General features: G+C 37.8%; 1 long non-coding RNA gene across 1 annotated transcript in view; it reads left to right on the top strand.

The window, feature by feature from the left end:
- The window catches only part of LOC101928923 (uncharacterized), a 487,547-nt gene that overhangs the window by 124,255 nt on the left and 350,324 nt on the right, over positions 1-12,968 (top strand). The window contains exon 4 of the long non-coding RNA XR_001744423.2: positions 3,523-3,681. This is a non-coding gene — a long non-coding RNA (uncharacterized LOC101928923). The remainder of the gene's footprint in view (positions 1-3,522; positions 3,682-12,968) is intronic.

Below are 12,968 nucleotides of genomic sequence, written 5' to 3'. Positions count from 1 at the left end.
GACTGCTATACAATCTTTCTGGGATGGCATTAATGAACAATGCAGCCGTTAGGTAGAATGGGTATCCAACACCAGGCTCATGCATGAGCACCAACTAATATTAAGAGAGGGTCTCACAAGCCTGGAGTGGGGACCGGGAGGGGAAAAGATGGCAACTTAAGGCAGAAGCAGGAAAAATTAGACAAGGAAAAAAGGCGGAGACTTAAGAAAGAGGCAAGAACTTCAAGAAAAAATCCGACATACTAAAAACCCAGTGCAGAATGGGTGCTGCTGTCTCATTCTCTTACAGCAACCCACTCTGCCTCATCTTTCAGAGGGTATTGTCTCTCTAAATAAACTCTCTGCTCTCGATTTTCCTTCGATGAGTTCTTTTTAAGCTAAATTGTCACTTGGCAGAATCCTTTCTCCCAAGTAAGACTAAGAACTGAGGATTCCTGCCCTTCCCAATAGCATATCTACCTACCTGTTTGAACTTTCCCCTAGTCTGTGTAGCACTTTGTCATTCTCTTAGACATGTCATTTGAAAAGCAGTTTTAATTTTGATGAATAGAATTTGTTTTTTTTTTTTTTAAGTTTAATGCTTTTTGTGTCCTAAGAAATCTTTTCCCATCTCAGGGTTGTAAAGATATTGTCTCCTGTAATAGAAGTTTTATGATTTTTTAACTTTTATATTGAGTTCTTTAATACATTTCAAACAAATTTTCATGTAAGGTGTGAGATAGGGATTGAGGATCATTTTTTCCCCATCAATGTCCAATTGTTTCAGCATTGACAACTGAATAAAAAGTCTACACTTGCTTTGTTAAAATGACTTAGTGTCTTTGTGAAAATTAATTGACCATATGAATTTGGATCTATTTCTGGAATCAGTTCTGTTTCTGTATCCTATGTGTCTATCCTTACACCAAAACCACACTGTCTTGATTTTTGTGCCTTTATATGGGAAGACTTGAACTTAGGCAGTGAAAGTCCTCTAATTTTTCCCAGAATTGTTTGGCTATATCTTAGGTCCTTTGCATATCCACATACATTTTAATATAGCTTATTAATTTTTATAAAATAGTCTGATAGGATTTTAATCATGAATGCCTTGAAGCTGAGATCAGTTTGGGAAAATGCTTATCTTAACGTTGAGTCTTCCAGTTCATGAATATGATATATTGCTCAGTTTATTTATATCTTTTATTTCTTTCGGCAATGTTTTATAGATTTCAGTATGTAAGTCATTGGCATCTTTTGTTAAATTTATTCCTGAGTACTTTTTTAAAAGCTAGTGTAAATACTATTGTTTTAAAAATTCAAGTTGTTGGCCAGGTGCAGTGGCTCATGCCTGTAATCCCAGCACTTTGGGAGGCCGAGGTGGGCGAATCACGAGGTCAGGAGATCGAGACCATCCTGGCTAACACGGTGAAACCCCGTCTCTACTAAAAATACAAAAAAATTGGCCAGGCCTGGTGGTGGGCACCTGTAGTCCCAGCTACTTGGGAGGCTGAGGCGGGAGAATGGTGTGAACCCGGGGGGCGGAGCTTGCAGTGAGCCGAGATCGCGCCAGTGCACTCCAGCCTGGGTGACAGAGCGAGACTCCGTCTCCAAAAAAAAAAAAAAAAAAAAAAAAAAAAAAAAAAAAAAAAAAAAAAAAAAAAAATTCAAATTGTTTCTATGTTGTCTGTATACAGTTAATTCAAATTGTATGTAGTAATTGTGTATTGACCTTGTAAGGGAGAAGAAGTAATATCTTTTCATCACCCATTACAAGGTTGATGGCTGACACCTTTATAAAGGAAGACAAATCAACGAGAGAAAAGCATAACCAATTTACTTAACCAAAGTTTTAGATGACATAAAGAACCCAGGAAATACTTCAGAAATAAAGAACCCAGGAAAACTGTGTATTTTTATGCTTGGGTGTAGTGAAGAATGGGCATTCACTTAGAAGTATGATTGGATAACAAGGGGGTATGACCTTAGCAATGGTTTTTAGTTTAGATTCTTCTTGGCCTCTGGGTAGAGGGGAAGAACTCTCTGGAAGGAGTCTTATGACTTCCTTTCAGGGGAGATAGGTCAAATAATTCTTTTATGACCATGCTTCAGAGAAGAAAGAAGAAGGTCAGAGAAGGAAAAAGAGAAGGTCAGTGAGACATTTCTACTTCTGCAGTTTTCTCAATTTCCTTCAGCTTAAAATACTCAGTTAAAACCAAGGTGCCATATTATGGGGTAGCATTTCCTGTGTCCCATTCATCTGATATCCTATGATCTTATTAAATTCACTTATCAAGTTTTTGTAGCTCTTTTTGTAGATACCTTAGAATTTTCTAGATAGATAGTTGTATCTTCTGCAAATAAATTTTTTACTTTCAACCTTTGTGCCCCTTTTCTCTTTTACTTGCCTTATTGCACTGTATAAGAGTTTCAGCACATTACTGCATAATAGTGGTGAGTAATGACAGCAGACATCCTTTTCTCTGCCCAGTCTTCGGGGAAAAGCATTCTTTTTACATTTTTTTTTTTTTTTTTTTTGCCATTTAGTGTGTTATGACTGTAGGTTTTTTATAGGTGCCTTGTGATAAGGGAGTTTTCCTATTCCTAATTTTCTAAGAACTTATGAATGGGTGTTGAATATTTGAAAGTGCAACTTCTGCATCTATTCGAATATGTGAATTTTCTTCTTTATTAATGTGGTAAATTATATTGATTTATTATCCAATGGTAGACTGACTGTGCATTCCTTAAATAAATCATTCCTGGCCATGGTGTAATATTATTTTTATACATTTCTGGATTCTGTTTGCTAATATTTTGTTGATAATTTTTACATATATATTAAAAAATTATTTTTATCTATAATTTTTTTTCTTGAAATGTCTGTGTTACTCTTGGTATTGGTGTAACGCTGGACTCATAAAGAGTTGAGAAATGCTCATTCCTCCTCTATTTTCTAAAAGTGTTTTTGTTTAAAGATTGTTATCTTTTATCTCTTAATATTTGAAAGAATTTAGCATTAAACCAGTTGGGCCTGAAATTTTCTTTGTGCAAAGATTTTGATTGTGAATTTCATTTCTTTAACGGTTATAAGGCTACTTAAATATTAGACTTCTATGATTTTCATCGTATTTCTAAGGAGATCATTCATTTCATTTACCAAATGTGTTAACATAATGTTGTTTATGATATTTGCTTTTTAACTTTCTAATGTCTGAAAATATTTTAGTTATATCTCCTTTTTAATTCCTGAATTTAGTAATTTGTGTTTTCTCTTTCTTTTTTAAAGTCTATCTAGGAGTTTGTCAACTTTATTAATGTTTTTAATGAATCAACCTTTTCTCTATTTTTTTGTTTTCTACTTTATTTTTACTCTAATTTTTATTGTTCTTTGCTTTTGCTTTTTGGGGGTTTAATTTATTGTTCTTTTTTAGCCTTTCAAGATAGAAACTTAGATTATTGATTTAACTTATTTTGCTATGCTGATATTTTACACATTAGCTCAGGTATATGACAGATACCATTATTGCTATCATTTTACAGATAAAGAAACTGAGGCTCAATGAACTTGTAACGCTTTAGTGTCAGAGCTCTAGAATGGGTGAAGGCCAGATTCAGACCCAGGCATCGTGACTCCCAAGTCTGCTTGTGGATCCTTGAAAGCAAGGGTGAGCCATAAGCATTGCACCTTTGAGAGAACTGGTAAGTTAGAACCGCAGGGACTTCTGAGAGCTTCCTTCATCATTTTCTGCATGCCTCCCAGTGTGCATAGTCTCTGCTCCTTCTCCCGTTAGCATGAGCCGTGTGTGTGATACAGTGTGAGCACTGGTGTGGAGGGTTCAGATCCATGTGGGTGGCCCCCACACTCTAGCCAAGTGAGCATGTAAAGATGTTTTTATGTAGCTTCATCGATAATTAACTTCCACTCTCTGCCTCATTCCATGCCTCCCCACTTGCCTTCCTCCCTCCCTCCAGCCTGGGTGCTTGGGGGCCTAGGCTGGGGACCTCACTGTGACTAGCTTAGCAATTCTCTAGCTCCAGGAGGCTGCCAGGACCCAGGCGGGAGTGCAGGAAGTTTTCAAGGTCTGTGCTCCAGGGTGTGTGATGACTTGACTGCTCCCTGAAGAGCTCGCTGCTTATAATCGCATAGTTTTTGGCATGTGCTCTCTGACAAAAGAACAGATGTTTCCTACAAGAACAAAAGAACAGGGCATAACTGTTGGCCTAACGCTTTGCCACTAATAACATTGAAAGTGGAAGCAACAAGTCCTAACGAGAAGGTCCCTACAGGATCATGAAGCCAGTGCCAGGGAATTGGAGTCAAAATGAAAGAACTCACGGCTGCTTTTACGTTTTAATAGGCAGTGTGCTGGATGTTTTTTAACCTCTTTGGATAAATAGCAACAGGCTATTCTTTCTAGCTGTGTTCATGAATTTTGTAGCTGTACAGTAATGATGGCTTCACAAGTTCCCTTACAAGATCCCAAGCCCGTGTCCATTTCAGAGACACACTGAGAGGGTTATGACAGGCTCGGCCAACCCTGCAGCATCAGCCTACAGTCCATATATGGGGGAAGCCTTAGCTAAATCGCAGCTCTCAGCCAAACTAAAAACACCAGAGCAAGTTTTTCTCTTTGTTGCTGGCTGGAACTTCAAAGCACGGAGAGCCCACACACAAAAATGAAAAACAAAGAACCCTAAAAAAGGGCCCAGCCTCAGAGCCCACCCCCAAAAGTTTAGTATGCCTCTTGTGTTAAAAACCTTTCACCCCATATGTCACATGTCACCCAGGGTTTCAGTCGCGTTCCTAGAGTCATTCCTCTGATTTTTCATCTCTGAAGAATATCTTCTTTGAGGTTGTCCTTGGCTTTCGCCCAAAGGAAAGACATTTATTTTTTCTCATTCTTTCCCCCAACCACCTACCCTGACTATTTCTTCAAACTAACAGACACAGTGAAAATATTATTTAAATGTTTTTAACTTCTTTTACCATGAACTGTTGTCACCAAAAAGGTTCAATGTTCGGGTTTAGTAAGTCATGGTTAGCAAAGAACATTCACAGCATCTGATGTCAACAGGATCTTTACAAATCTCTCCTCCTATTTCCCTTGGACTTTATTGAGAGGGATGGATACTATATCCCAATGTGGCAACTGGACATCCTCATTTATATTTGTGGTCCCAGCTTATACCTTTTTCCTGATGTTCTGTTTGCTGATTTGCATGATTCATTATATGATCACCTCTTCTTTAAGAAGGGGTTTTGAAAATATTTCTTATGATTCTAGCAATTTATATCAAATTTTATGGTGCTATCATTATAATGCGAATGTGGGAAATGCAGAACCAAAACCTTGAAGCGACTTGAAATTTTCATAAGGCAAATCCATTCATCACATATACATTTGAGTCCATGTTATTTTTCTGAAAATGTGGTTGAGCTAATGCAATTATGAAAATGTTGTTTCTTGGAAATGAAAAGGTTTTGTGTTCAGCAGGGTACATAAAGTAGGTGTAAGCACTCTCATATTTGGGCTCCAAATATGGGTTACATGTTGAGACTGAGTGCCAGTTGAGGAGCACATTAAAAAAACACCCAATCATATGATTGTGTTATTCATAGTTATACATTCTGTGTCCCAGAGACTAAATATCAACAGCAGATTCCTTCAAAGATTGGATGGGTATGAGTGACAAAGTGACGGATCTTAACATCTTGAAATGGTGGCAGAATTGAGTTAGCTGTTTTTATAAAAAAAAATAGGCCAGGACGGAAGTTAGACACATTAGTGCTGCTGAATTTGTTTTGAATCAACTCTGTGGCTCTAGGCAACCAGATTTCTCTCCATGTGTCGGTTTCCTGATCTGCAAAATGGGCATAAATGTGTTTTCTCTAGGACCTCTCTCAAAATTCTCACGAAGATAAAACAGGCCTTTATTTGGGATAGTGCTTTGAAAGTAACGCATATTACACATGTTTCTCAAGCTGTACTTAAAACAGCAGGCTGTGATTTTGAGGCAGCCACATCAGAAGGTGTCTGGAGCTCTCGGCCTCTGTGGGGCATGCTCAGAGTGAATTGAAATTTTTGGTCAGTGAATCCTGGTGGCTAAATGACTATTTTCCATATTTAATTCATCTATTTTTAGCTTATTTTCATGACTTGATTCAGAACTTAATAGAAACAAATGTGCATCTATTACAATTCAAAATTGAACTTCCTGGGTGGTGTTGGGTGGGAGAAACAGAGATTGAAATGAGAGAGAGAGAGAGGAAAACTTAACATTTCTATGGTAATAAAAAAGTAGTTTTTACAAAACTGAAAACACTAAAAATTGAACCCACAAAAATGGTATGATGAAACCAACTGAATTTCTGCATTTGGAAGCAAACCAGAACTCGGTGACTGTACTCAGGTCTCTCTCTTCTTTTCAAACTGTTGGATGCCTTTGCTTCATCGCTGTGTTGTTGATGTTTGCATTTTAATTATAACAATGACACTTACCTGTCCCTATTTAAGCCATCATGAAAACTCTGTGTTGAAAATCTGCTTGACTGGATGAAAAGTCTAAAAAACGCAGGAGGATAGCACTGCTGTCCCCAAGCCATATGGGCAAGTGATTTGAGGTCATTTTCCAGCAGGAGTGACAAATTTAACTCAAGTGGTCTCCCCTTCTACCTCCCATTTCTTGTGGGTAAGGTCTGGGTCAATGATTATAGTCAGTGACTACGAATGAGTGGATTTCTAGGGAGAGGCACATGTATCCTGTTAGGCTGTCAGTATGCCGTGGTTTGCCTGAGAGAGTGCAGGTTTACCCCTGTGGCCCAGCCCGATGATTAATTGTACCTCTTTTCATTCCTAAGGTGTTTGGATTTGGGTGAGAAGTTGTGTGATCATACTATTCATGCTGGGTGCTGAGCACACAACCTGGGCATTAGGGTCTCTGTGTCCTCATCAAGTGGGAGGTCTGGCCCAGATAACATAAACCAGTTGTCATTGCATGGGATCAGGGTAGACCTAGGTGCTTTGATGACAATCTGTTGGTCTGTGCTCTTCCCTTTAATATATATTCCCAAACTAATTGTCTCACTAAATTCACTAAGTGCAGTTTCTGGCTGCAACATTTCTACTTGGGAAAGACGCCAGAATTGTCAGCCAGTAAAGACTTCAGACCTTTCTTGGCCAATTTGCCAAAAAAACATCAGAGGGAGTTATTGATCTTTTCCCTTGTACTCATTCAGCTAATTTTTTTTTCTGTTTCCTTTCTTTTCTTCTTCTTAAGCTGACATCCAATAAAAGCTATTTCTTTGAGGTGCCAGCAACATGTCAGCACCAATACCATTGACAATATGAATTGTAGTCCCCCCACCTCCATTTCTCTACAAATGTCCTTTTCTTGGTTCTGTTGACAACACAGGTATTTGTCAAGCTTTGCTTTCCTCTTGCATTTATTCATGGGTGACTTTGAACCTGGACTGGTTCATGGGACTAAATTCCATTTGGATACTGTGTTTGAATACTACTGCAAGTTGCATGCTTAAAAATTTATTAAACAGTATACACCACTTATCAGAGCAATCTTATTTTATACTTAATTTATAGAAGAAAGCCCAGTAGATTAGTCAGGGACATCTCAATAGCTAGTTTCTCAGCAGGAGCAAATTTTGGATTTGGCCTTCAGAAATATGAACTATTCTTTCAGAAATTTCTGGCACTGAATAGTGCTACACTTCCCCCCGTGAGAGCTGTTCACTTACCACCTTTTCTTAGCTGGAGGCCCAGGCTCATACTAGCCTATGAGGTACAATTAAAGAGGAGGCCTAGAGAATTGCAGGCATAATTACCACAGAGATGGGCAAGGTAGTTATGGTGACAATAAATATGTAAGATATCTGGGAAGCTTTTTTTTTTTTTTTTTTTTGAGACAGAGTCTCACTCTGTTGCCCAGGTTGGAGTGCAGTGGTGTGATCTTGGCTCACTGCAACCTCCACCTCCCAAGTTCAAGTGATTCTCCTGCTTCAGCCTCCCAAGTAGCTGAGATTACAGGCATGCACCACTACAAGCAGCTAATTTGTTTTGTATTTTTAGTAGAGACGGGGTTTCACCATGTTGTTCAGGCTGGTCCTGAACTCCTGACCTCAAATTATCCACCTGCCTCAGCCTCCCAAAGTGCTGGGATTACAGGCATGAGCCACCGTGCCTGGCCTCTGAAAAGTTTTTTTTTTTTTTTTTTTTCTGAGATGGAGTTTTGCTCTTCTTGCCTAGGCTGGAGTGCAATGGTGCGATCTTGGCACACTGCAACCTCCGCCACCTCTGGATAGTGACAACTATGAACAGATTAATATGCAAACTGATGGTTGGGACAGTCATTTGACAAATTTGCAACTGATTTGCCTGAATTATCCTGAAAATATCTCACCCTTTCACTTGAATGATGCTGTGCAGAACACTCTGCTGATGCTTGAAGGTATTTCCTGTGTAGAGTCCCCCAGTGAGTACAAAAATATGGGCCAAGTGTAGCCCAGACATCTGAGTAACTCTCACTCAATTGTGGATCCACATGAGAAGAAGTAAAACCAATGTCCCATTTCCTACATTGACGCAGAGGATGCTGCTTATCTCAGCACCTGGCTTGTCAAGCAGCCACGCTCAAACCTCTGATCCTCTTTGATCCTGCCTGATACTGCTTCATAGAATTTCAATTCCAGAAGAACTCAAATCAGCAATCTTTTCTTTATATTCCATTTCTTCCCTGCTTCTGCCCACTCACCTTTTCTCGTGGTCCTAGGATCAGGGCGTTTGAGGTTATATAACTTAATATGAGTAGGAATCACTTGGAGTTAGGAAGAGAGAAGTGTTGATATAGTGGAATATAAGTAATTTACAAATTGATATATGCATTCTAAATATATGCCTGTGAAATTTCTGTAATTCTAAAATGGGAATAGAACCAAAATGTTTAGTCAGACATGATAATTATAGCTAACATTTATTGAAGGCTTATAACGGGCCAGCTACTGTTCTAATTGCTTTACATTTATTAGCTAATGTTCTCACAATAGCCCAATGAGACAATTCTTATCACCATTTTACAAAGCAAGAAATAGGCGCAGAGAGGTTGTGACTTGTTCAAAGTCACCACTGGGTGATGGAGTCAATATTGGGACCCGTGTCTTGTGACTCCCCCAGTCACAGTGCCATGCTGCCGGTACAGTTCCAAAATGATATTAACACTTGCCCCTTAACTTTGAAAGAGTTTTGCAAAGCCTGGTCTTATAATATGTAAATAACAGTGCTTGAATTTCTTGGCTGATAAGTATTAATAACCAGAAAGTAATATTTTAGAATGCGGTATCCCTGGATATTAATTAGCTTGCTTATATATGTTAGTCCTCTAGGGCTGCTGCGATAAAGGACCACAGACTGGGTAGCTTAACACAGCAGCAATTTCTTCTCTCTCAGTTTTGGAGGCTGGAAGTCTAAAGTGGAGGTGCTGGCAGGGACGTGCTCTCTCAGAAGGTTCTAGGGGAGGATCCCTCCTGTCTCTTCCAGCCTCTGCTGGCTCTCCTTGGCCTTCCTTGCCTTGTGAACGCAGCTCCCTTGTGAACGCAGCTCCCTGCCTTCATCACATGGAATTCTCCCTGGGTGTGTGTCTGTGTCTACATTTTTCTCTTCTCAAAAGGACACCAGTGGCCTGGTGCAGTGGCTCACGCCTATAATCCGACCACTTTGGGAGGCCGAGGCAGGTGGATCACCTGAGGTCAGGAGTTCCAGACCAGCCTGACCAATATGGTGAAACCCTATCTCTACTAAAAACACAAAAATTAGCCACACGTGGTGGCATGCGCCTGTAATCCAAGCTACTTGGGAGGCTGAGGCGGGAGAATCACTTGAACCTGGGAGGTGTAGGTTGCAGTGAGACAAGATCACACCATTGCACTCCAGCCTGGGGAACAAGAGCAAAACCCTATCTCAAAAAATAATAATAAAAAAATTAAATTAAAGATTTAAATTTAAATTTAAAAAAAGGACACCAGTCATTCCCCTCATCCTGGTATAACTTCATCTTAACTTGATGACGTCTGCAGAAACCCTATTTCCAAATAAGGTCACCCAAGGTCTTGGAGTTTAGGACTTAAACATGACTTTTTGGGGCACACAATCAACAACAATATACATATCTGCTTAGGCTATATTATCACCTATGTTTTAATTTTGAGAATAAAACAAGAATAATGTTTCCCCCATGCAATTTCTTTCTTTTTCCTCCAACACACGTGCATAATTCTTTTATTTCTTCCTTAAAACAGCATCTGATCTACCAGCAGATGTTTCCCCCATAATAACAGGCACATAATACCCCACTTCAGAGGTCTGGGATCGGGTGGAGTGGTTCTCATGATAGCTTTTTATTTTATAGCAGACCTCTTTTTATTTTGTCTTCTAAATTGCTTTTCCATTACTTGTTTATAATATTAATAGTTAAAACCATAGTATGGGAGTGATCATATAGTTGACATTTACAATTAACATTGTACGGCCAGGATTTCTCCATGTTATTGCAAAAACTTAGCTGATTTGTTAACATTCCTTATAATATTTCAGCAAATTAAAAATATACAATTAAATCTTTCTCATAGTTGGCACTTAGGTTGTTTCCATTTTTTTCTTTTGTGTTAGTACTGCAGTGAATATTTATGCTTATATCTTTTTTCTTCCTTTGTTCTTTTTTCCAAGAGGAATTTCTAAAAGAATATAATATTTTGGTGTCTCTTGATAGCCTATCGTTTGATATTGATTGCTGTCAGAAATTGCACTGGAATCACCCCAATATTGTTTCACAAGCTGATCATATAAAATTTTGTTTTAAATAGCCTTTTATTGCTTACATTTTAACTTCATTGTTATTATGGTTGAACACTTTTCAAATGTATTTCTTCTAAACATTAAAATCATCTGGGAACTGAAAAAAAAAAAAGACAGCTTATCTTTCTTTCGCAGTTGTTAAAAACATGTGAGAAGGAAGTTAGATTGAATTAGTTGCATAACCCAATATTTAAGGTTTCCTGAGTTGATACGGCCACATATTTTTTTTGTTCCTAATGCTCAAATTTCCAAATTTCATACTTAAAAGAGCCAACATTAACACACAGACACACACACACACACACACACACACACACACGTACATTTGCTTTATTAAGATAAATTTGTTAGAACAAAAGACCTAGTATATATAACTTGTTTTGCTTAAATAACATTATTTAAATGTATACTGTGTTCAGTGGTGCATTCCCCCTAGTTTAGTATGGTGAACACATGTCCTAAATATTCAGTATAAACTTGTAGAATGGAAGATGATTCACCCCTTAATGAATTTATAAGTATCTGCTTAAATTATCTTTAGTAAATAAAATTAGCAGCTTATCAGTCACTTTTCTAAAATGGCTCCTTGCTAAATTAATTTGCAAGTTTATCAAATTACATTTATGACTTTAAAATATATAGTAATATGCATTCATTAGGAATTTATCTCAGATTTCTGAAATGTATGCATTTAAGATTCTATGGATGATTAGAGGAGACATATTTTAAAAAGTGTATATCTTCAATGATATGTCTTTGAAGTCATATCTACTTTATATCAATTATTCGTAATTGAATACAAGAGGGTGCAATTGAGGGCTGGCAAAAGGGGATTTTAGTTAACCAATATGATTATCCTTTATTTAAAGTTAATTATATTTTTTCACTTCTCCTGTTTTACAGCAAGTGTGGAGTTGGCTCCAAACTCAGAGTCTGTCTGGGTACTCAGTCCTACATCTGTTTAATGTCGGTGTCCTTCTTGGCCTCTTCCCATAGACATTGGGTTGCTTTAGACTTATGAGTCTTGGCCTTGGCGGATGGGACAGTGAGCTCAGTCTTCATTCACTGACTTGAGGATTTAGTAGATCTTGATTCTGGCTCTCTTCTGATCCAAGAACCACACTACAGAGCTAAGTAATCAGGCTTCCTGCTTTATGAGCTAAACATGTATATGTATATAATATGCATATATTATACATGTATGTGTATATATATATATATAACTGTATATATATATATATATAACTGTATATATATATATATATATATATATAACTGTATATATATATATATATATATATATATAACTGTATATATATATAGCTGAACAACGTGAGTTTGAGCTATGCAGGCCCATGTATGTGTGGATTTTCTTCCACTTTTGCTACCTATGAGATGGCAGACCAAATCCTCCTCTTCTTCCTCCTTTCAGCCTGCTCAACATGAAGATGATGAGGATGAAGGCCTTTATGATGATCCACTTCCACTTAATGAAGAGTAAATATATTTTCTCTTCCTTATAATTTTTAACAACATCTTTTATCTAGCTTACTTTATTGTAAGAATACAGAATATAATACACATAACATATAAAATATGTGCTCATCAACTGTTTATGTTATTACTAAGGCTTCCAGTCAATTAGTAGTTAAGTTTTTGGAAAGTCAAAAATCTTACATAAATTTACTGCTATGTAGGGGGTCAGCCCCACTAACCCCCATGTTGTTCAAGGGTCAGCTAGACACACATGCACACATATATGCACACACATATCTATCTATAAATTTTCATCTTATGTCTTTTGTATTCTGGGCTTGGTTTGCAATTCTAATGTGAATGGAGGGCCAACTATTTGTCACAGAAAAGGAGAAAGATGCTACTAAAATCAACTTCAACTGCTTTAGCCCCAAAGAGAGTAGCATTACTTATTCTTAGACTGAAATCTTTTTATTTAAATAAAATATGTTGATAGAGAACTGTTGGTGCAGTGTTTGAGTGCTCAAGAGACTGGACTGGAGAGAAACAAAGAACCTAAGAGATAGCTGATGTCCTCTGCAGGAGGAATGAAGAGGGGTAAGGAGGAGAAAAAGTGAGAATGAGCCTGGTTTTCTGAAAGTCTAATGA

Source organism: Homo sapiens, chromosome 6 (assembly GCF_000001405.40).
Source record: "Homo sapiens chromosome 6, GRCh38.p14 Primary Assembly".
NCBI classification, from domain to species: Eukaryota; Metazoa; Chordata; class Mammalia; order Primates; family Hominidae; genus Homo; species Homo sapiens.
Note: the sequence above shows the minus strand (reverse complement) of the source record. Positions and strands in the feature narration are given on the sequence as shown.